General features: G+C 44.7%; 1 long non-coding RNA gene across 1 annotated transcript in view, besides 1 other annotated feature; it reads right to left on the reverse strand.

Annotated features, from left to right (window-relative positions):
* Positions 1–23,340, reverse strand: part of LOC105371191 (translation initiation factor IF-2) — a 32,299-nt gene extending 8,959 nt beyond the window's left edge. Inside the window, exons 1-5 of the long non-coding RNA XR_005647012.2 lie at positions 23,288–23,340; positions 22,946–23,181; positions 22,686–22,877; positions 17,354–17,520; positions 16,363–16,490 (exon numbers count right to left, since the gene is read on the reverse strand). This is a non-coding gene — a long non-coding RNA (translation initiation factor IF-2). The remainder of the gene's footprint in view (positions 1–16,362; positions 16,491–17,353; positions 17,521–22,685; positions 22,878–22,945; positions 23,182–23,287) is intronic.
* Positions 22,623–23,122: an enhancer, noted in NCBI's record as "H3K4me1 hESC enhancer chr16:32359969-32360468 (GRCh37/hg19 assembly coordinates)". NCBI's record gives its function as "activates a minimal SCP1, AML or CMV promoter by ChIP-STARR-seq in naive H9 embryonic stem cells {active_cell/tissue: H9 hESC(naive)}" and the evidence as "EXISTENCE:reporter gene assay evidence [ECO:0000049][PMID:30033119]".
* Positions 23,341–23,761: the final 421 nt, after the last annotated feature.

Consider the following 23,761-nt stretch of genomic DNA (forward strand, 5'->3'; position numbering starts at 1 on the left):
AAGGAAAGGCCCAAAGAGACAAAATACTTATTATTTTGTAACCTCGATATGACACAACTTACCCTAACTATAAAGACCCTAAATTACCAAGATGGGTGCTTATAATATGGAGAGTAAAAAAAGTCATTTCACTTTTAGCTTTTTTATTTCTCTCAGAATAAAAAGTGTATAAGGAGTTGATAAAGAAGTTGATACTATAAGTTAGTACTACAATGACAGCACTTTTCAAGAAAAGACTTTTTTCTCTCTTACAAATATCATGTTAGCAGTATTTGTTTTCTCCAGAAATAATGAGGAAATAAAAACATAAGTATGTGGGTAATTAGTGTAGTTTCTTAAAGAAATGAGTTAGGCAACAGGCTAATAATGTATACTTCGCTGGCTTTTGAATGCCAACAATCATATTCTTTATAAGGCACAGGGAAGATTTTTCTAAAGAACAAGTATGTGAACCTGAAAAGTAATCACCACTTGGTAGTGACAATATGGATAGGGTGAAGGGCGTCACCAAGAAGCAATGAAAAGATACATTTGCAGTTAAATTTGAAAACCATGATGTTTAATACATATAGTAATAAAGAATACTTTCTCCTGTTTCAAAATTATTTTAGAATTTAAGATAGAAGCTAAAATACCTAGGGATAATGATATGACTATCGAAAATTAAAAATTAAAGGACATTTTGAGTATTAGAAGTTAAGAATGAGAACTTATTACCCAATGAACAGGGGATAATTCATTATGCTCCATATCCATTGAATTAAAAGACAGGCCCGGCCGGGCGCGGTGGCTCACGCCTGTAATCCCAGCACTTTGGGAGGCCGAGGCAGGCGGATCACGAGGTCAGGAGATCGAGACCATCCCGGCTAAAACGGTGAAACCCCGTCTCTACTAAAAATAGAAAAAATTAGCCGGGCGTAGTGGCGGGCGCCTGTAGTCCCAGCTACTTGGGAGGCTGAGGCAGGAGAATGGCGTGAACCCGGGAGGCGGAGCTTGCAGTGAGCCGAGATCCCGCCACTGCACTCCAGCCTGGGCGACAGAGCGAGACTCCGTCTCAAAAAAAAAAAAAAAAAAAAAAAGACAGGCCCATTACCTGGATAATTTGAAAGTTTAATTTTATTTAAAAGTCTTGTTTCATTCATCAAGCTAAAGGATTAGCTCCCAGAAATATTCTAGGATTGCATATCCCCAACTCTGTAGGAAGTATAGAAAGAATGTTATAAGGGCCACCACCTAAACATTATTATGTAAATAATTTAGTACCATTCCATTTGCCTTTGTAGATTTAAAAATGTAAATGGCTTTCTCATATTAGGAAACATCATTTTTCAAAACCCAGATAAACGTAGTATATTGCAAGAGAATAATTATTTTCTTTATTAAAAAAGAAATACTGGATGCTAAGTCCAAAAGACATAAATTATTTTATACTAATAACTACCAACATTTTATTCATTAAAATATAAAGGTCAAAGATTTTAAAATGATCTTTAAATGATTAATAACATGTTGATCTTTTTCTTCTTTCTGTAAACCTTTTTGAGTCTTAAAAATACTAAACTATACAAGCAATATTAAATAGTATATAAACTTGGATTAAAATATTCAAATTTACTAGAATGTGGACATTGGAAAGAATGAAAATAAACAGAAGCATAAAGCAGCAGATATAAAATTACGAAAGCAACTAAGAGTGTTTAAAGTACATATTCATCTGTAGTCTAATGTCTACCATAAACAATGACTCTTCTCAGTAAAACACAAGTCGTTCATGAAGGGAAAAAGCATGTTGTATTAGAGAATATTCAACATAACTTTTTTAGTACTAACTTGTGCCTGGAGTATTATTGGCTTTTCTATTATGAACTTATGCACTTGATATTTTTTTTCATAAAGATTGTATGTACAACTCCATTCAAAAGCAGTTTTTGGTGGTTTTTTTTTTTTTTTTTTTTTTTTGAGACAGAGTTTTGCTCTTTTCACCCAGGCTGGAGTGCAATGGTGCGAACTTGGCTCACAGCAACCTAGCAACCTTTGCCTCCCAGGTTCAGGTGATTGTCTTGCCTCAGCCTCCTGAGTGGTTAGGACTACAAGCATGTACCACCATGCCTGGCTAATTTTGTGTTTTCAGTAGAGACATGGTTTTGCCATGTTGACCAGGCTGGTCTTGAACTCCTGACCTGAGGTAATCCGCCCACCTTGGCCTCCCAAAGTGCTGGGTATGGGCAAGAGCCACCATACCCGGCCTCAAAAGCAGTTTTTAAAAGCAAACACAATATAACACCAAAGTTGAAAAATCCAGGCTCACCCAAGGATGCCAGGTTTAATAAATTATTTATAGAACACTGCATCAAAAATAAGACAATAACCCAAAATATACCATTAAAGATGTATCCACTCCTACAACTAGAGATAATTAATCTATCTGGTAGCAAATGATACTTCAATCAGTTTCAGCATGTCTGAAATCTTTAAGGACAAAAGTGATAAAACATGACTTCATTCTTCATTAGACTCTTAGAACACTTGAAGGAAGATAATTTCTGAAGCACAAAGAGGTAAAGAGGTGTAATCTCTCAAAAAGATATTCAGTGTTCAAAATCCAAGAGTGCAATATCAGGCTGGGTGCGGTGGCTTATGCCTGTAATCCCAGCACTTTGGGAGACCATGGTGGGTGGATCACCTGAGGTCAGGAGTTCGAGACCAGCCTGGACAACAGGGTGAAACTCTGACTGTACTAAAAATACAAAAATTAGCCAGGCATGGTGGTGTGCACCTGTAGTCCTAGCTACTTGGGGGGCTGAGACAGGAGAATCGCTTGAACCTGGGAGGTGGAGGTTGCAGATCATGCCACCTCACTCCAGCATCAGTAACAGAATGAGATTCCATCTCAAAAAAAAAAAAAAAAAGAGTGTAATATCATATCGGTATACACAGATAATACACTGAATGAAAGAAATAGAATAATTTGAAGAGGTATCTTGATGAACGAGGAGTCATTAGAAAGGTTGTATTCATGTCTTTGAAGCAACTTTGCAATGTGAGAAATTAATACTTTGACTACTATACTAAAAGTTTATTGCTAACATGTATTGAGTTATTAACGTGTGTTAGGCAGAGTACCATATAATTTGCAAGTGTTATCTCATTTATTGTAGGTAAAATGTAATTTCGAACTCTGGGAGTATAAACGAATTAGATAGAATAAAATTCTATTTAAATTGCTATCAGTAAATCGGTATCTAGGAACAGGGTGATACAGTGCCCAAGTTTTCTATTCTTACTAAACGTTGTGTTTCATTTTCAATGTTTTCTTGGATATTGCTCTTTTTTGGCGACTTTGATTTTTTTTATTTTAGAAAACTAATAAATTGACTCTTCTTGGTACTGACTCTTGGGTTTTATAGAAGAAAAAGTAATTAAATTCTGTACATTTACCTTTACCTCATTTTTTCTCTTTTAAATTTACTTTGACATATAATAAATGTACATGTTATGGGGTACAGAGTGATATTTTGATATATTTATGCAATGCATAAAGATCAAGTCACAGTCATTATCACATCCATTACCTAAATCATGTATTATTTCTTTTCAGTGAGAATATTCAAAATCTTTTATTTTAGTTATTTGAAAACACACAATAAATTCCCGTTAACTACAGTCACCCAACAGTGCTGTAGAGAACTAGAACTTCTTCCTTCTCTCCACCTGTAATTTTGTATGTATTAACCACATTTTTCTTATACTCTTCTTTCTCCTACTCTTTCCAGGATATGGTAACCAAAACTCTACTATCTACTTCTACGAGATTAAAAATTTTAGCTTCCATACATAAGTGAGAACACGTAGTTATGTGGTGTTTATGTTTCTATGCCAGGCTTATTTCACCTAACATAGTGCCCTCCACTTGCATTCTTGTTGCCACAAATAACAGGATTTTGTTCTTTATTATGACTAAATAATATTCCATTATATATGTATGTCACATTTCTTTATCCATTCATCTGTTGATGGACACTTTTGTTGATTCCATATCTTGGCTATTGTGAATAGTGTTGTAATAAACATGCAGGTGCAGGTAACTCTTTGATATACTGATTTTCTTTCCTTTGGATATATACTGAAAACCATATGATCAAATTAATAAACACAATAAAAGCATTTGGCAAAATTAAATATTCTTACATGACAAAAAACCTCTTAACAATTTAGTATAGAAAATATATGCCTTAACACAGAAGGACATAAAGGACAAATCTACAGCTAAGATCATACTGAGTGTGGAAAAGGTGAAAGATTTTACTGTGAACAAGAAAAAGATTTTACTGTAACAAGAAAAGGATGCCTATTTTCACCAATCATATTTCACATAGTGAAAGTCTTAGCCAGGACAATTAGGTGAGAGAAAGAAATACAGGATATCTGAATTGGAAAGGAGACAGTCAAATTGTCCTTGTTTAAAGACAATGTGATCTTATACACGGAAAAAAATAAGATGCTACCAAAAGCTTCTTAGGGTGATACATGAAATTAATAAAGTTGCAGGATATAAATCAACATACAAAAATCAGTAGCATTTCTATATATTGATAGTAAACTAGCTGAAACAAGAAATTAAGAAAGCAATTCCTTTTACAATAGCTACAAAAATGTACTTAGAAATAAATTTAACCAAGGAAGTAAAAGATTTCTACAACAAAAATGACGAATATTAATGAAAGAAATTAAAGAAAACACAAAAAAGACATCCACGTTTATAGATTGAAATAACTAATATTCTTAAAATGACCCACTATCCTATGTAATTTACAAATTTAGTACAATCACTAGCTTGTATTTTTAAAAGCACCTTTGCTGCATATTCTTAAGATATTCAATGACAATGCCTGGATTTATGTTTGAGGTATTATTATATCTATTTTATATTGGGCACAATATAATGTTATCAGAGGTAACGGTTTTGATTGGTCCTAGGTCATACAGTAATATATACATTGTGATTTATAGACGTTATCTTTTAATACTCAGGCATTTAGAAAGTTCATTTAGACAAAGTTATAAAAACTTGCCTTCCTTTCTGCCTATATCACCTAAAAATCCTAATTTAAGAGGTAATAACATTTTTTATTTGATATACAATTTATCAACACAATAAAAATCTAACAATTATCATGTGCAGAGTGTGAAAATCTCATCAGATTAAGGAACGCAAAGACATCTTTTTCATATTTCGAATGTAAAACTCTTTTGGAAACTTATTTTTAGAAACAGTTAAAAACACTTTTTCATTAGTTTTTCATGTAAAATTGTGACAACCAGCATGAAATAACTGTCATCACAGAAGCATGGTATATTTGATTCCAAAACATATTCTTTGTAAGTTTTAATATATTTATGTATTATTTATACTTAGATTGTAACCCATAATGTAGATATTATTTTTCCTTCAACTCTTAAGAATATTCTTAAATAATAAAATTAAAATGAATTGTAATTTTTGTTGGTTGGGAAAAAGAATAGACACACACGTGACAGTGCATCACTTCACCTCATCATTTCATCTCATCATTTCATCTCATTTCATCATTTCATCTCATCATTTCATCTCATTTTATCTCATCATATCATCTCATCATTTCATCAAATCTCATCTCATTTCCATTTCATTTTCATTATTTCATTTCACTATTTCATTTAATTTCATCTAATTTCATTATGTCACTTCATATCATCTCATTTCATCTCATCATTTTTCATATCATTTTTCATCTCATCATTTCATCTCAATTCATTTCATCTCATCATTTCATCTCATCTCATCATTTCCTCCTTTCAACATTTCATCTCATCATTTCTTCTCATCTCATTTCAATTTCATTATTTCATTTCATCTCATTTCATTATTTCACCTAATCTCATTATTTCATCTCATCTCATCTCAATTCATCTCATCTCATTTCATCTCATCATTTCATCTCATCATTTTTCATCTCATTTAATCTCATTTCATTTCGTCTCATCATTTCAGCTCATCATTTCATCTCACCACATCTCTTCATTTCATCATTTCATCTCATCTCATCTTTCAATTTCATTTCAATATCATTTCCTCATTTCATCTCATTTCATTATTTCATTATTTCATTTCATCTCATTTCAATTCATCTCATTTCATCTCATCATTTTTATCTCATCATTTCATCTCATCATATCTCATCATTTCATCATTTCATCTCATTTCTTCTCATCATTTCATCTCATCAGTTTAACTCATTTCGTCTCATCTCAATTTCATTATTTCATTTCATTTCACTTTATTTCATTTCATCTCATCTCATCATTTCATCTCATCTTACCTCATTTCATCTCATCATTTCATCATTTCATCTCATTTCATCTCATCTCACCTCATCTCATTTCATCTCATCTCATCATTTCATCTCATCCTTTCATTTCATCTCCTTTCACCTCATCTCACCTCAGCATTTCATCATTTCATCTCATTTCATCTCATCTCACCTCATCTCATTTCATCTCATCTCATCATTTCATCTCATCCTTTCATTTCATCTCCTTTCACCTCATCTCACCTCAGCATTTCATCATTTCATCTCATCATTTCTTATTTCATCTCATTTTATCTCATTTCATCTCATTTCAATTTCCTTCATTATTTCATTTCATCTCATTCATTTCATCTCATTTCATTACATCTCATCATTACATCTCATCTCATCTCATCATTTCATCTCATCATTGCATCTCATCATTCATCTCATCATTTCATCTCATCTCATCATTTCCATTTCCATTTCATTATTTCATTTCATCATTTAATTTCATCATCTCATTTAATTTCACCTCATTTCATTATTTCATTTCATTATGTCATTTCATTTCATCTCATTACATTTCATCTAATTTCATTTCATCTAATTTCATCTCATTTCATCTCTTTTCATCTCATCATTTCATCTCATCATCTCATCAACTCATTTCATCTTATCATTTCATCATTTCATCTCATCTTATATCTTCTCATCTCATTTCAATTTCATTTCATTATTTCATTTCATTATTTCATGTCATGTCATCTCATCATTTCATCTCATCACATCTCATCATTTCATCATTTTATTTCATTTCATCTTATTATTTCATCTCATCTCATTTCAATTTTATTTCAATTTCATTTTATTTCATTATTTCATATCATTTCATCTCATTATTTCATTATTTCATTTCATTTCATCTCATCATTTCATCTCATCATTTCATCTCATCGTCTCCTCTTATCTCATTTCATCTCATTCACCTCATCATTTCATCTCATTATTTTATCTCACCATTTCATTTCATCTCATCTCATCATTTCATCTCATTTCATCATTACATCTTATTTCATCTCATTTTATGTCATTTCATGTCATCATTTCATCACATCTCGTCTCATCTCATCTTTTCATCTCATCATTTCATCTCATTTCAACTCATTGCATCTCATCTCATGATTTCCATTTCATCATTCCATTTCATCATTTCATTTCATTATTTCATTTCATTATGTCATTTCATCTCATCACATTTCATCTCATCTCATCATTTCATCTTTCATCTCATTATTTCATCTGATTTCATGTCATCATATCATGTCATCATTTCATCTTTCATCACATCTCATCATTTAATCTCATTTCATCTCATCATTTCATCTCATCTCATCATTTCTTATTTCATCTCATTTTATCTCATCATTTCATCTCATCTCATCTCAATTCAATTTCCTTTCATTATTTCATTTCATCTCATTCATTTCATCTCATTTCATTACATCTCATCATTACATCTCACCTCATCATTTCATCTCATCATTGCATCTCATCATTCATCTCATCATTTCATCTCATCTCATCATTTCCATTTCATTTCCATTTCATTATTTCATCACTTAATTTCATCATCTCATTTAATTTCACCTCATTTCATTATTTCATTTCATTTTTTCATTTCATTATGTCATTTCATTTCATCTCATTACATTTCATCTAATTTCATTTCATCTAATTTCATCTCATCATTTCATCTCATCATCTCATCAACTCATTTCATCTTATCATTTCATCATTTCATCTCATCATTTCATCTCATCTCATATCTTCTCATCTCAATTTCATTTCATTATTTCATTTCATTATTTCATGTCATGTCATCTCATCATTTCATCTCATCACATCTCATCATTTCATCATTTTATTTCATCATTTCATCTTATTTCATCTCATCTCATTTCAATTTTATTTCAATTTCATTTTATTTCATTATTTCATATCATTCATCTCATTATTTCATTTCATTTCATTTCATCTCATCATTTCATCTCATCATCTCCTCTTATCATTCATCTGATCATTTCATATCATCATTTCATATCATCACTTTATCTCACCATTTCATCTCATCTCATCATTTCATCTCATTTCATTCATTACATCTTATTTCATCTCATTTTATGTCATTTCATGTCATCATTTCATCACATCTCGTCTCCTCATCTTTTCATCTCATCATTTCATCTCATTTCATCTCATCATTTCAACTCATTGCATCTCATCTCATCATTTCCATTTCATTATTCCATTTCATCATTTCATTTCATTATTTCATTTCATTATGTCATTTCATCTCATCACATTTCATCTCATCTCATTTCATCTCATCATTTCATCTCATCATTTCATCTCATTATTTCATCTGATTTCATGTCATCATTTCATCTCATTTCATCACATCTCATCATTTAATCTCATCATTTAATCTCATTTCATCTCATCATTTCATCATTTCATCTCATCATTTCTTCTCATCTCATCATTGCCATTTCATTATTTCATCATTACATTTCATAATTTCCTTTCATTATTTGATTTCATCTCATTTCATTATTTCATCTCATTTTTCATCTCATTTCATCTCATCATTTCGTCTTATCATCTCATCTTATTTCATCATTTCATCTTATCGTTCATCTCATTTCATCTCATCATTTTATCTCATTATATCATCTCATCTCATCTCAATTTCATTATTTCATATCATTTCATTTCATTATTTCATTTCATTTCTTCTCATCATTTCATCTCGTTTCATCTCATCATTTCATCCATCATCTCATTTCATGTCATCTCATCTCCTTTCAATTTCTTTTCAATTTTGTCATTTTATCTCATCATTTCATCTCATCATTTCTACTCATCATTTCATCTCAAAATTTCATCTCATCATTTCATCTCATCATTTCATCATTTCATCTCATCATTTCATCTCATCTCAAGTAACCTTATCACTTCATCTAAGTGAAATGATGTAATGGAATCATGAAATGAAATGGATAGGATGCCCTCAGTGATGTTAAATTTAAAAATTGTTTTCATGTATTCATTTTTATATTTATATGTATTTATATTTATATTTACTTATATTTCTTTTTACTTATTTTTATTTATATTTTTACTTATTTATTGGTAGACAAGGTCCTGTTCTGTGGCCTAGGCTGGAATGCAGTGGTGCATTCACAGTTCACTGCAGCCTCAAGCAAACCTCCCACCTTAGCCTCCCAGGTAGCTGGGACCCCAGGTGCGCACCACCACACCTGGTTAATATTTTATTATTTGTAGAGATGGAGTCTTGCTATGCTGCCCAGGCTGGTCTCAAACTCCTGGGCTCAAGCAATCCTCCTGCCTTCGCAACCCAAAATGCTGGGATCACAGATATGAGCCACAGTGCCCATCCTATTTATTTACTTATTTATTTATTTAATAAAGAAAAGGTCTCAATATGTTGCCCAGGCTGGTCAACTCCTGGACTCAAATGATTCTCCAAACTTGGCCTCTCAAAATGTTGGGATTACAGGTATGAGCCACCATGCCTGGCCTAAAAATAGTATTATATTTTTGCATTATATAATTTTCAATTAAGTAATATGAATATTCTGTACAGGAAATATGCCCTTAATTACATAGGAATAAACATTTGTTACACTGAGAAAAAATCTAATAGAGCTAAAAATAAAAATTAGTTTGGAGAGGTCATTAGATACTCATACATTCTTACGTTTATATATTCTTTCATATATTCATATATTCTTTTAACAGTATCAATGGTTTGGAGTTATGTGTACAAAACCATGACCTACATGTAATACAACTAATAACAAGCACTTACAATTCAAGGCATATTATATACAAAGCTTTAACTTCTCATCTTCAGATTTTGTTTTTTTTCTTTCTGTTTTGGCAGATACTATGAACACAACATTCAACTCACAGACACTATGGAGCCCTTACTAAGCATAAAGTACTGTGAAAGGCCAGGGCTAGGACAGAACTGAGACAGGGCCAGGGATAGGACAGAACCGGGGCAGGGTCATGGCCAGAGAAAAACCAGGGGCAGGGTCACAGCCAGGGACATAAGAGGACCAAGGCCAGGGCCAGAAGTAGGGCAGAACCAGGGCCAGGGCAGGGACATGGCAGGGGCAGGGCCAGGGCCATGGCAGGATCAGGGCCAGCAGAAGGCCAGGGCAGGGCTAGGGTAGCACAGGGCCAAGGCAGGGCAGGGTCAGTGTAGAGCAAGAAACGGGCCAGGGTATGGCAGGGCAGGGACAGGGAGGTCCAGGGCCAGAGTCAGGTCCAGGACATGGACAGGGCAGGGCCAGAAACATGGCAGGACCAGAAAGGGGAAAGGGCAAGGGCAAGGCCAGAGAAGGACCACAGTAAAAACATGGCCAGGGAGGGTCCAGGGCAAGGGCAAGGCCATGGCAGAACCAGAGCCAGGGCAGTCCAAAGGCAGGGCCAGGGCAGGGCCAGTGTAGGGTGAGGGTAGGGCCAGGGCAAGTTCAGGGCCAGGGCAGGACTAAGATAGCACAGGGCCAAGGCCAAGGCCCTGTACTAAGATAGCACAGGGCCAGGGCAGGGCCAAAGGAGGGGCCAGGGCCAAGCATGGCCAGTGTGCGGCCTGGGGATTGTCAGGGCCAGGGCCAGGGTCAAGGCTGAGCCAGGAACAGGGCCAGAGCAAGGGCAGGGCCAGGGAGAAGGCAGAACCAGAGAGGATCCAGAGAAAGGGCAGGGCCAGGGCAGAACCAGGACCAGGATAAGGCAAAGCCAAGGCCAGGGCAGGGCAAGGCCAGGGCAGGGCAAGACCAGGGAAGGGCAAGGCCAGGGTAGAAATGGCCAGTGTACGGCCAGGCCAGGGTAGGAAAAGGCCACGGTAGGGCCAAGGCCAAGGCGGGGCAGGGCTAGGGTAGCACAGGTCATGGCCAAAAACAGGGCAGGGCCATAGCAGTGGCAGGACTAGCAACAGGGCCAGGGTAAGCGCTGGACCAGAGCATGGTGGGGACAATACAGGGCCAGGACAGATGATGGCAAGGCAGGTCCAGGGTCATTTCATGGACTCGGTAGGCCTGGGGTCAGGCCAGGGCAGGGAAAGGGCAAGGCCAGGGAGAAGGCAGGGCCAGGGCCAAGGCACTGCCAGGGCAGGGCAGGACCAGTGCAGGGTGAGGGAAAGGCCAGGGCATGGAAGGGCAGGGCAGGACCAAGGAAGGGCCAGGAGAATGCCACGGCAGGGTCAAGGCCAGAACAAGGGTACGGGTGGGGTCAGAAATATGGTAGGGCAAGGGCTGGGCCCAGGCTGGGACATGCAGGGCAGAGCATGGCCTGTGCAAGGCAGGGCCAGAGCCAGGCCATAGAGATGGGAGGGCAACACCAAGGCAGAGTCAGGGTAGATCCAGGGCTGAGCAGAGTCAGGGCAGGTCCAGAGTCGAGGCAGAGCTAGGGCCCAAGCAGGGCCATGGCAGCACCAGGGCAGAAAAGGGCAGGGCAATGCAGGACTGGGCCATGGCAGTGCCTGGTCAACTCTGGGGCAGGGCCAGAAGCAGGACAGGGCCAGGGCCAATGCTCAGACCAGGGACAGGGCATGACAGGAAGTGCCAGAGCAGGGCTGGGCCAACGTTGGGACAGGGCAAATCAGACCAGGACACCTCCAAGTCCAGCTCTGGCCCTGCCTTGGCCCTGGCCCCTTCCTGACCTGACCTTGTCCCTGGCCCTGCCCTATCCATGCCCTGTGTGTTTGACCAGTGTTTTATAACCAGAATCCTATAAGAAACTTAAATCAGCTCTTTTTGTGCATTTTTAGTAGAGATGGGGTTTCACAATGTTGCCCAGGCTGGTTCCAAACTCCTGAGCTCAAGCCATTTGCCTGCCTTGGCCTCCCAAAGTGCTGGGATTACAGGAGTAATCTGGCCAAGTATTTAACTTCTTTATGCCTGTTTCCTACATTTGGAAAATGGGGATGCTTTAAGTACCTAGCACCTAGAATTATTGTGAGAATCAATGCCTCACATATTTACATATTGATAAAATTGTACTCATAGAACACTACTGGAAGCAAAGATAGTATTAGTTAAAATTTAGTGATTATTTACTGCAAATATTATTACTATTACAAACAACATAGTATAGACATTATTACCACTACTATAGTTATCTTAAAAATCTAAAATAAAAATTTTATGTGATAGCCTAATGTAATCTCTCCTGCTCTGCCCCGGCTCAGCCCTAGTGCCGGCTCTGCCCCTAGTCCTACCACATCACTGGCCCTGACCCTTCCCTGGTCCTGCCGCTGCCCCGGCCCTTCCCATCTTCAGGCCTTACCATGGCCCTACCCTGGTCCTGACCCTGGCCCTACCCCAGAGAAGGGGTATGGCAGAGCCAGGGAAGGGCCGGGGCAAATAAGGGACAGGACACATCCAAATCCAGGAAAGGGCCAGGGCCATGACAGAGCCAGGGCGAGTCCTTGGCAGGGCCAAGTTCCAGGCCAGGGCCAGGAAAGGGTCATGGCAGGGTCACTGTACGGCCAAGGTCCAGGCCAAAGCCAAGGCAGGGGCAGGGGCAGGCCTGCATAAGGGCAGGACCAGAGCCAGTGATACGGCAGGGCCAGGGCTGTGCCAGGACAGAACAAGAGCAGAGCAGGGCAGGACCAGAGCCAGGCCATAGAGAGAGTAGGGCAAATGCCAAGCCAAGGCCAGGGTAGTGCCAGGGCTGAGGCAAGGTCAGGGAAGGTCCAGGGCTGAGTCAAGGCTGGAACCAAGACAGGGGCAAAGGCCGGGGCAGATCTAGGGCACAAGCAGGGCAGGCTAGGGCAGGCCAATGGCAAGACCAGGCCATGGCAGGGCCAGCCCAGGATAGAACAGGGCACAGGCAGGGCGGGGCCGGGGCCACGGCTGGGGCAGGACAAGGACCAGTACTGGGGTCCAGGCCAGGGCAAAGGTATAGCCAGGGCAGAGGTAGGGCCAGAACCAGGGTCTGGGTAGGACCAAGGAGGGTCCATTGCAGGGCCAGGGTTCAGACCAGGGCCAGAACAGGGCTGGGACAGGGCCAGGGCCAGGACCAGGAAAGGGCAATGTCAGGATAAGAGCCATGGCAGGACCAGCAATGGGGCTAGGGCCAGGACAGGGACAGGGTCAGGGCTAGGGCCAGAATAGCATGCCAGGGTAGAGCCAGGCCAAATTAGGGCCAGGACAGGGTCAGGACCAGGGCTGGGACAGGGTATGGCCTTAAGTAGCAAAGGGCCAGGGCCAGGGTCCATGCCAGTGACAGCGCTGGTCCAGGGCAGAGGCAGGGCCATGGCCAGGTCAAGGACAAGGCTGGGGCAGGGCCAAGGTCTGGGTCAGGGTCAGCACGAGACCAGGACAGAGCCAGGAGAGGGACAGGGCCATGGTAGGGCCAGGTTAAATCAGGGACAAGACACCTGCAAATCCAATTCAGGGCCGGGGTCAGGGCAGGGCCAGTTCAGGGCCAGGGCCAAGACAGGGCCAGGGCCAGGGCTGTCAGGGTCATTGGCAGGGCAAGGGCCATGGCAGGAGTAGGGTCAGGAGCAGGGGTCAATGCCAGGCCAACGCCACAGATAGGACCAGGTATGTGCTAGGGCCAAGGCGGGGTCAGGGCAGGGCCAAAGGGAGGGCAGGGCCAGGGCAGGTCTATGGCTGGGGCCGGGGCAGGGCCAGGGCCGGGGCAGGGCCACGACAGTGGCAGCTCCAGGACAGGGCCAGGGTTAGGACCACGGACATGTCCAAGGCCAGTGCCAGGGCAAGGACAAGGGCAGGGGCAGGGCCAGGGTCATCTAAGAACCAGGGACAAAGCCAGGCCCAGAGCAGGGCCAGGACAGGTACCTGGCAGGGCTAGGGTCTGGGGCAGGGCCATGGCAGGGCCAGGGCCACAACCAGGTCTGCGCTATGGCCAGGTACAACACAGTGCCCAGGTAAGGCTAGGATGAAGGCCAAGGTAGGGCCAGGGCAGGGTCAAAGCCAGGCTAGGGCCAAGGCAGGACCAGGGCCGTCAAGGAAGGGCCAGGAAAGCATAGGGCCAAGGCAGGGCAGGGCCAGGCCAGTGCCAAGACCTGGGCAGGGCCAGGGAACAGCCAGGGGAGGGCCAGGGCCAGGGCCTGGGCAGGACCAGGTTTGGGGCAGGAGCAAAACAAGGGCAAGGACAGTGCAGGATCTTGGCACAGCCAGGGTCCAGGACAGTGTCAGGGCAGGGCCAAGGCAGGGTCTGGGCCATGATAAGACCAGCAACAGGGCTGGGGCTAGGCCAGTGACAGGACCAGAGTCAGGGCAAGGGCCAGAGCAGTGCAAGGCCAGGGTAGGGCCAGGCATTTCAGGGTCAGGGCCAGAGGAGAACCAGGGCAAGGTCTCAAGCAGGGAAGGGCCAGGGCCAGGCCAGGGCCAGGACAGGGCCAGGACAGGTCCAGGGCAGGGCCATGACAGGGCCAGGGGCTGTGTTAGGGCAAGGGCAGGGCCAGAGCAAGGTAAGGGTCAGGGCCAAGGCCAGGGTAGGGACAGGGCAAGAAATATGGCAGGACCAGGGGCAATGCCAAGGCCAAGGCTGGGCCAGGGCTGAGCCAGGGCTGAGTCAGGGCAGGGCAGGGCAGGGCATGGTATGGCCAGTGCAGGACAGGACAAGAGCCGGTCCACAGAGAGAGCAGGACTGATGCCAAGAAAGAGCCAGGCTAGTGCCAAGGCTGAGGCAGTGTCAGAACATGTCCAGGGCAGGGCCGGGCCCAGGGCCAGAACTGAGCCAGGGCACAGCCAAGGCAGGGTACGGCAGGGAAATAGCATGGCCGGGTCAGTACTGGGACAGGGCAGAGCAGGGCAAGGCAATGGTAGGGGCAGGGCAGGGACAGGCCAATGCAGAGCCATGTTACGCCGGGGCCAGGACACCTCCAAGTCCACTTCAGGGCCAGGGCTATGGCAGGACAAAGACCAGGGCCAGGGTCAGGGCCAGGTCTGTGCTAGGGCCAGCTCCAGAGCAGGGCCTAGCGAAGACTAGGGTGAGGGCCAAGGTAAGGCCAGGGCAGGGTCAAAGGCAGAGTAGGGCCAGGGCAGGGTGATGACACATCCAGAGCACAGCAGGGCAGGGTGATGGCCAGACCAGGGGCAGACCACTGCCAGCTCAGGGCCAGGGAAAGGCCAGTGCAGAGCCAGGAGAGGGTCAGGGCCAGGAACAAGGCAGAGCAGGGCCAGGGCCATGGCAGAGTCAGGGCAGGTCCTTGACAGGACCAGGTTCCAGGCCAGGGCCAGGGCAGCAGCAGGGGCAGGGCCTGGATAAGGGCAGGGCCAGGGGTATGGCAGGACCAGGGCTAGGGCCAGGGCCAGGCCGTAGTGAGGGCAGGGCAAAAGTCGAGGCAGGGTCTGGGCAGGTCCAGGGAGTGGCCAGCACCAAGCGGGGCCGAGGTACAACCAGTGCAGGGTAAAGCAGGGCAATGGCACCACTGGGCCATGACAGGGCAAGGTCAGTGCCAGGAGAAGGCAGAAAAGGCAGGCCCATGGTAGGGCCAGGGCAGGGATGGGCCAAAGCAAGACCAGGACATGTCCAAGGCCAGGTCAGGGCCAGAACAGGAGTAGGACCATGACCACTGGCAGGGCCAGTGCCATGACATGACCAGGGTCAGGACAAGGGGTAGGGCCAGAGCCAGGGCCAGAGCCAAGGTCAGGCCAGTGCAGGTTCAGGGCAGGGCCAGTGCCGGTTCAGGGCAGGGCCAGTGCCAGGGCAAGACCAGGGCAGGGACAGGGTAGCACAGGGCCAAGACAGGGTCAGGATGGGACCAGAGCAGGACAGGGCCGAGACAGTCCATGTAACAGTAGGGCAGGTACAGGGCAATGCAGGGCAAAGCCAGGCCCATTGCCAATGCACCAGCCTTCCCTACAAGGCTCCTACCACCTGGCCACTGCTGCAGCCCGTCCATCGCTGTAAGCCTGAGCCCCAACCCTGGCTGCAGCCGCCTGCCCTCCTAGCGCGGCCGCTCTCCTACCGCTCTGGCGCACTGCAGTCTCTGTCGCTGCCACCCACCCGCAGTGAGGCAAGTCGTGGTGTCGCAGGCTCTAGGTGTCTCCTCCTCCTCCTGGCATGGAGCAGCTGGGTGGGCAAAGCCAGAAAAGCCTAGAGGAAGATGTGAGGGGTGGAAGGGTTAGAGCCTCAACTTGTCATGCTGGCCACTGGGTGGCAGGGGCCAGTTTCAGCAAAGGCACTCACACCCACCCTCCAAAGTCCAGCCTCTCCTTTTGGTCCAAGCTGGCCAGGAACTGGGGTCTGGGGAGGGTGCTGGAGACACCACAGCACCCAGCTCCCCACTCCACAGGAACCATTGGGCCCACCGGGGCTGCACTCCTCGGGGAGCAGGAGAAGCAGAAAAATTCAGACCCAGCCAGCCCTCTGCACCCAGGTGCCAATTCCTGTTCCAGACGCCTCCACACACAGGGCCCTGTCCCCCGTGGTGTCCCCAGGGGTGCCTGGCAGCCTCTGAGGCACAGACCCAGAGTGCACAGGCCCAGGAACCATGGTGGGTGTGGGGGCTCTGCCGTGCTCAGGATTCCCACGCAAATGCTGCGTGCCTGCCGCATTCCAGTATGACCAAGAGTGGGTCGCCCTCTGGAGTGTGGAGTCAGGGAGAGGAGAACCACTCCTTCCTTGGATGCCAACTCTGCTGACCACTGCCAGCAGTGCAGCCCCTGATAGCACTGAACTCGCCCCCACTCCACGGCTAGTCCTGCCCTCAATAGCGCCCCCCACCTCCATCCCCCAATGCCGCCAGTAGCGTATACCTGATAGTGCCCTAACCTGTCCTCCTCCATGGGCATTGCAGCCCCAGAAAGTGCCCATAACCCACCCTCCCTGCCATGGGAAGTGCAGCCCTGTACAGTGCTACCAACCAGTACCCCTAATGCAGGCAATGACACCCTGGATAGCACCCCCAACCCACCCCACACTGTGAAAGGTGCAGCCCTGGATAGCCCCTGTCCTACCACTCTGGTCGTGCTGCAGTCTCTGTCACCGCCACCACCAACCATAGTGAGGCAAGCCAGTGGGCCACAGGCTCTAGCACTCAGCAGCCAGACATGGAGCAGCTCTCGCCGATGACCAGCTCCTACCACTCTGACCACGCTGCTATCTCCGTGGCCATCTTCTTTGACTACAAAGGAATAAAACTAGATATCAATAAGAAGAGTAATTTTGGAAACAATACAATCACATGGAAGTTAAACACTACCCACCTGAATAAATGACTAGCGGGTCAATGAAGATACTAAGACAGAAATTCAAAAATTTCATGAAACAAAGGGTAACGAAAACACAGTATACCAAAACTTGTTATGCAGAAAGCAGTACAAAGGCAGAGATTTACAGCTATAAGTGCCTACCATCCAAACAAAAGAAAAACTTCAAATAAACAATACATCTTAAATAACTAGTAAAGTAAGAACAAACTAAACCAAAAATAAGAAAAATAAATAAGATCATAGCAGAAATAAAATTGAAAGAAAAAACACACAAGATGAAATGAAAAGTTGGTTTTCTGGAAAGCAAAACAAAATTGACAAACTTTTAACCAGGCTAACTAAGAAAAAAGAGACAAGATTCAAATAAATAAAATCAACAGATTAAAAAAGGCAGACATTACAACTAATACTTCAGAAATTCAAAGGATCATAACTGGCTATTATATGCCAATAAATTGGAAAGCCTAGTAGAAATTGGCAAATTCCTAGATGCATACAACCTACTTAGGTTGAACAATGAAAACATCCAAGACCAGAACAGATTGGTAACAAGTAATGAGATTGAAGCCATCAGAAAAAGTCTCCCAGTAAAGAAAAGCCCAGGAACTGATGTCTTCACTGCTGATGGCTTCACACCAAACAATTTAATGACCTAGTACAAATCCTACTCAAACTATTTTGAAAAACAGGAGGGAATACTTCCAAACTTGTTCTATGAGACCATTATTACTGTGATACCAAAATCAGACAAAGGCATCAAAGAAGGAAACTACAGGCCAGTATCTCGAATATTGATGCAAAAATCCTCAACGAAATACCAGTGAATCAAATTCAGTAAAACATTAAAAAGATAATTCATCATGATCAAGTGGGATGTATCCCTGGGATGCAAGGGTCACTCAACATACAATGTGATACATCATATCAACCAAATAAACGACAAAAACAGTATGATCATGTCAACTGAAACTGAAAAAGCATTTGATGAAATTCAATATCCCTTCATGCTATTAATCCTCAAATAAACGGGTACAGAAGAAACATACCACAACATAATAGAAACTACAGGAAAGACACCCAAAGCTAGAATCATATGGAGAGAGGTCCAGGCTGCAGTGGGCTGTGATCCCACCACTGCACTCCAGCCTGGGCAACAGAGTGAAAGCCTGTCTCAAAAAAAAAAAATACATAAAAAGAGGTATGAGCCCCTTTTATAGGTGCAGTGACTCACATCTGTAATGCTAACACTTTCTGGGAGGCTGAGGTGAGAGGATCTCTTGAGGCCAGGAGTTCAAGATCAGCCTGGGCAAAATAGCGAGACCCTTTATCTACAAAAAAATTTTAAATATTTGCCAGGTGTGGTGGCACGTGCCTGTAGTCTCAAACAATTATCATATGACCCGGATAGTGTATTCCTTAGGGATATACCCAAGGGAAATGAAAATATACATCCACACTAAAATTTGTACACAAATGTTCATAGCAGCATTGTTCATAATAGCCAAAAATTGGAAAAAAAACTCAAGTGCCTATCAACAGAGGAACTGATAAAATATGGTATATCCATTCAAAAGATTACTCAGCATTAGAAAAGAGTGAAGTGCTGATATACGCTACAGCATGGATAAACCTTGAAAACACTGTGCCAAGTGAAATAAGTCAATCACAAAAGACCATATGTAGTAAGATTTCATTCTGTGAAATCTCCAGAACAGCTAAACTCAGAGACAGAAAGTAAGCTAGTTATTGCCAGGGACTAGGGGAAAAGGGAATAAGGATGACTGCTAATGGGTATGGGATTTCTTGTGGACTGATGAAAATGGTCTGAAAGTATCTAGATACCTGTCTTGTTTGTGCGATTCTGTGAACATATTATAAACCACAAAATTCTGCACTCAAGGGGTTGATTTCATGGTAGGTGCATTTATCTCATTTATCTTTATCTCAATAAAGCTTTTTAAAGACACTTTAAAAAGACATATCTGTATAAGCTACAAAAATAACACACTGAGACTAAAATGCTTAATTTTTCCATTTTTCTTCTTCAGCACAATCTCAAGTCCAAAAGTCTTTCCTTCCTATATATGCATATTTTGTCCAGTGAAACAAGAAACTCTATTAACTTTTTTATTAGAAATAAAAAAAAGCCATGTGTGCTGGCTCACAGCTGTGCTTCCAGCTATTCAGAAGGCTGAGGAAGAAGGATCACTTGAGGCCAAGACTGGGAGTTCAAGACCAGCTGAGGCAACATAGCTAGATCCTGCCTTTAAAAATATTTTTTAGGCCAGGCACGGGGGCTCACGCCTGTAATCCCAGCACTTTGGGAGGCCAAGGAGGGCAGATCATTTGAGATCAGGAGTTCAAAACCAGCCTGGACAACATGGTGAAACCCCATCTCTTCTAAAAATATAAAAATTAGCCAGGTGTAGTGGTGGGCACCTGTAGTTCCAGCTACTTGGGAGGCTGAGGCAGGAGAATTGCTTGAGCCGGGAGGGTGGAGGCTGCAGTGAGGCCAAGATCATTCCACTGCACTCCACCCTGGGTGACAGAGCAAGACTCTGTCTCAGGAAAAAAAAAAAAAAAAAAATATATATATATATATATATATATATGTATATACACACATATACGCATATATGCGTATATGTATATACGCATATATGTGTGTATGTATATATATATTTTTTAGGTTAAAACCCTACTGAAATGAAACTAATAAAATAAAATTCAACTTAATTAAAAAATAGTTCCTGAAATATTAATTTTCAAACAATTCTATTTTAGCTTTGACTCTGAATAAAATATAAACGTCAATTTCAAAATATCACAAAGATTGGCTGGGGGCAGTGGCTCATGCCTGTAATTCCAGCACTTTGGGAGGACGAGGCAGGTGGATCACTAGAGGCCAGGAGTTCCAGAGCAGCCTGGTCAACATAGGGAAACCCAGTCTCTACGAAAAAAATACAACAAAAATTACCCGGGTCTAGTAACCCCAGCTACTCAGGAGGCTGAGGCATTAGAATCGCTGGAATCTGGGAGGTGGAGGTTGCAGTGAGTGGAGATCATGCCACAGCACTCCAACCTGGGCGACAGACTGAGAGTCTGTCTCAAAAAAATAAAAATAAGGCCAGGTGCTGTGGCTCACACCTGTAATCCCAGCACTTTGGGAGGCCAAGGTGGGCAGATCACTTGAGGTCAAGGAGTTTGGGACCAGCCTGGGCAACACAGTGAAACCTCCTCTCTACTAAAAATACATAAATTAGCTGGGCGTGGTGGCACACACTTGTAATGCCAGCTACACCAGAGGCTGAGGCAGGGGAATTGTTTGAATTCGGGAGGTGCAGGTTGTAGTGACCTGAGATTGTGCTACTGCACTCCAGCCTGGACGACAGAGTGAGACTCCATCTCAAAAAAAATAGAAAAAAAAAAGAAAATTTAAATTTAAAATTTAAAAAAGTCACAGAGACTACAAATACTCAGGTTTAAGCAAATTCCCACCTTTCTTGAATTAACAGTAATTCATATTTGCTTTGTCAAAAATGTAGATATTTACCTGCCTCAACGGAATGAAATCCTAAAAGCCTAGTGTTCTCAAATGATGAAGACAAAGAAACATGCATATTTTAATTTAGAATTTTGATTCAGAATTAATTTTAACCTAGCTGGAGTATACATAATCATCTATGTATTTATTTACTTATTTAAGAGACTGGGTTTCGCTGTGTTATCCAGGATGGAATGCAGTGGCACAACCTTGGCTCACTGCAACTTGTACTTCCTGAGCTCAAGCGATCCTCCCACCTCAGTCTCCAGAGTAGCTGGGACTGCAAGTGCACGTTACCACACCCAGCTAATTTTTGCGGAGACGAGCCTCACTATGTTTCCCACACTGGTCTCTAACTCCTTGGCTCACTACAGCCTCAAGCCCCTGGGCTCAAGCAATCTGCCTCCCAAAGTGCTGAGATTACAGGAGTGAGCCACCACAACCGGCCTAGTCGATAGTGTATACTAAGCAACATATACCCTGCTTTTGCCTAGAACATACTGAAAACATGGCATTAAAAACAATCACAAAAGTTGGGAGCTGAGAAAAATATACTGTAAAACAAATCTGACAGATATTAATCTCAAGAAGCTCCTGAAAATGTCTCAAGAACTCCTATGCTGCACTCTCCCTAATAATTTAGACTTTCTACAGATATTTTCTGATCATCTACCATGTGCCAGGCACCATGCCAGGTACCAAGATGCCATGGTGAGGTATACACAAAACCGGCTCCTGCTTGCGGGAAGCCTACTCTCTCAAACAGTGCTTGCCAAGCTCGACTGATCACAACTTGGGAGCTTGTTTAAGTTCCAAATCGGCTTCCCTGCTTAGGTGAGCCACAATCCGTGGCATTTTTATCAGGTGCTCCCAATGATTCCTACGCTCTAACGGGTTTGGGAGGAAAGGGTGGGGGTAAGCTCGAGAGCCCAGACCCATCCCGTCCAGCGGGGGCCCCACCTCTAAAGTCCATGTCGCTCAGCATCCTTCCCCCTGACTAGTGGCCCAAACACAGCACGAAGCTGAGGTGGGTGGAACGCTGTCCAAAACAGCGCTCTGTGATGAGCCACCGACAGACTTGCTCGCCTCTGGGAACGAAGAGCTCACTCCTCACAAACCCCACCAGGGAAAGGTAGCACCTGAGCCTCCCGGGCTGCGCGGACACCTGTCTCCCCGCGGGTGCCGCCTACTACTCCGGTGGACTCCAGTCCCCAGGTTCCGCCCCACGGGGACTGGGGGGAGGGGGGAGGCGCCGCGCGCATTAGGCGCTGACAGTATACCGACCCCCCCTCCGGTGTGCACAGGCCAACACCCATACACACCCTCACACACCCGCACACACTCCCGTGGAAACTGAGGCAGGCAGGCGGCGGACCAGGTCCCGCCGCCTGACGGCTAGCGGCTGGGATGGAACCCGGACTGCCAGACGCCTTCCGCCTCACAGGCACTCCTCAGCCGCTGAGGCCCGGCCCGGCTCCCACCGCCGGAGTTTCACAAAGAAAGTCTCCCGGCCCGAGCCCCTCACGCACTCACCGGCGCCGACGCCCGCGGCGACTGGGGCTCCCACCTCCTTCAGCTCCTTGCGGGGGTCGGCCCTGGGGTCGGCTTGGGCGCCGGCAGCGGCGACTGCTCCACATCCACCGGGTCCGGGCCGCGTCCGCCTCGAGCTAACGGTCCCGCCAGCTAGGCGCGCGCGCCAGTTCCGGGCGCCATGTTCCCGCCGTGCTGCTCGCCGCCGAGGCGACCCTCACTGCCCCCCAGCCGCGCGCGCCCCCGCGGGCCCACACACGAACCGCGCACGCGCGCGTTCGCCGCGCCCCCCTCCCTCCCCGCGCGCCCCGCCTCGCCCCTCTGGAGCTGGCCGCTGTTCCCAGTGTCTCGCCCACCCCCGCCGGGCCCGTCCGACTCCGCGGGTGAGCGCGTGGTTCCCGGCTGGGCACCGCCGCCTGCCTCTCTGCAGACCACCCCGGACCCGACCCCTCGGCCACTTCCCCACACTGCCCCTTTCGCTTCCCCCACCACGTGGGGCCTAGGAAGAGGGTCTGGGCCAAGAGGAGCTTCCCTGCAAGAAGTGCCCAGCTAAGGACGCTACTAAGGGGGCGGGATCGCCACCGTGGAGGTGTGCAAGCAGGTGCCTGCGTCCCGGAGACAGCCGACTCAACGGAGAAGCTGAGTTGAAGTCCCACATCTCCACTAACACTTGCGTGTTAGGGTCAGGGCTTCGGAACTTGTTTCTCCTAAATCTTTTTTTTTTTTTTTGAGACAGTCTCGCTCTGTCACCGAGGCTGGAGTGCTGTGACGCGATCTCGGCTCACTGCAAGCTCCACCTCCCGGGTTCACGCCATTCTCCTGCCTCAGCCTCCCGAGCAGCTGAGACTACAGGCGCCTGCCACCACCTGCTGATTTTTGTATTTTTAGTAGAGGTGGGGTTTCACCGTGTTAGCCAGGATGGTCTCCATCTCCTGACCTCGTGATCCTCCCACCTTGGCCTCCCAAAGTGCTGAGATTACAGGCGTGAGCCAGCGCGCTCGGCCTGTTTCTCCGAAATCTAAAGACTCAATATCATAATCAAGAGAACGCCTCAGCACCGCGCCTAGCACTTAGTAGGT

This window comes from Homo sapiens, chromosome 16 (assembly GCF_000001405.40).
Source record: "Homo sapiens chromosome 16, GRCh38.p14 Primary Assembly".
NCBI classification, from domain to species: domain Eukaryota; kingdom Metazoa; phylum Chordata; class Mammalia; order Primates; family Hominidae; genus Homo; species Homo sapiens.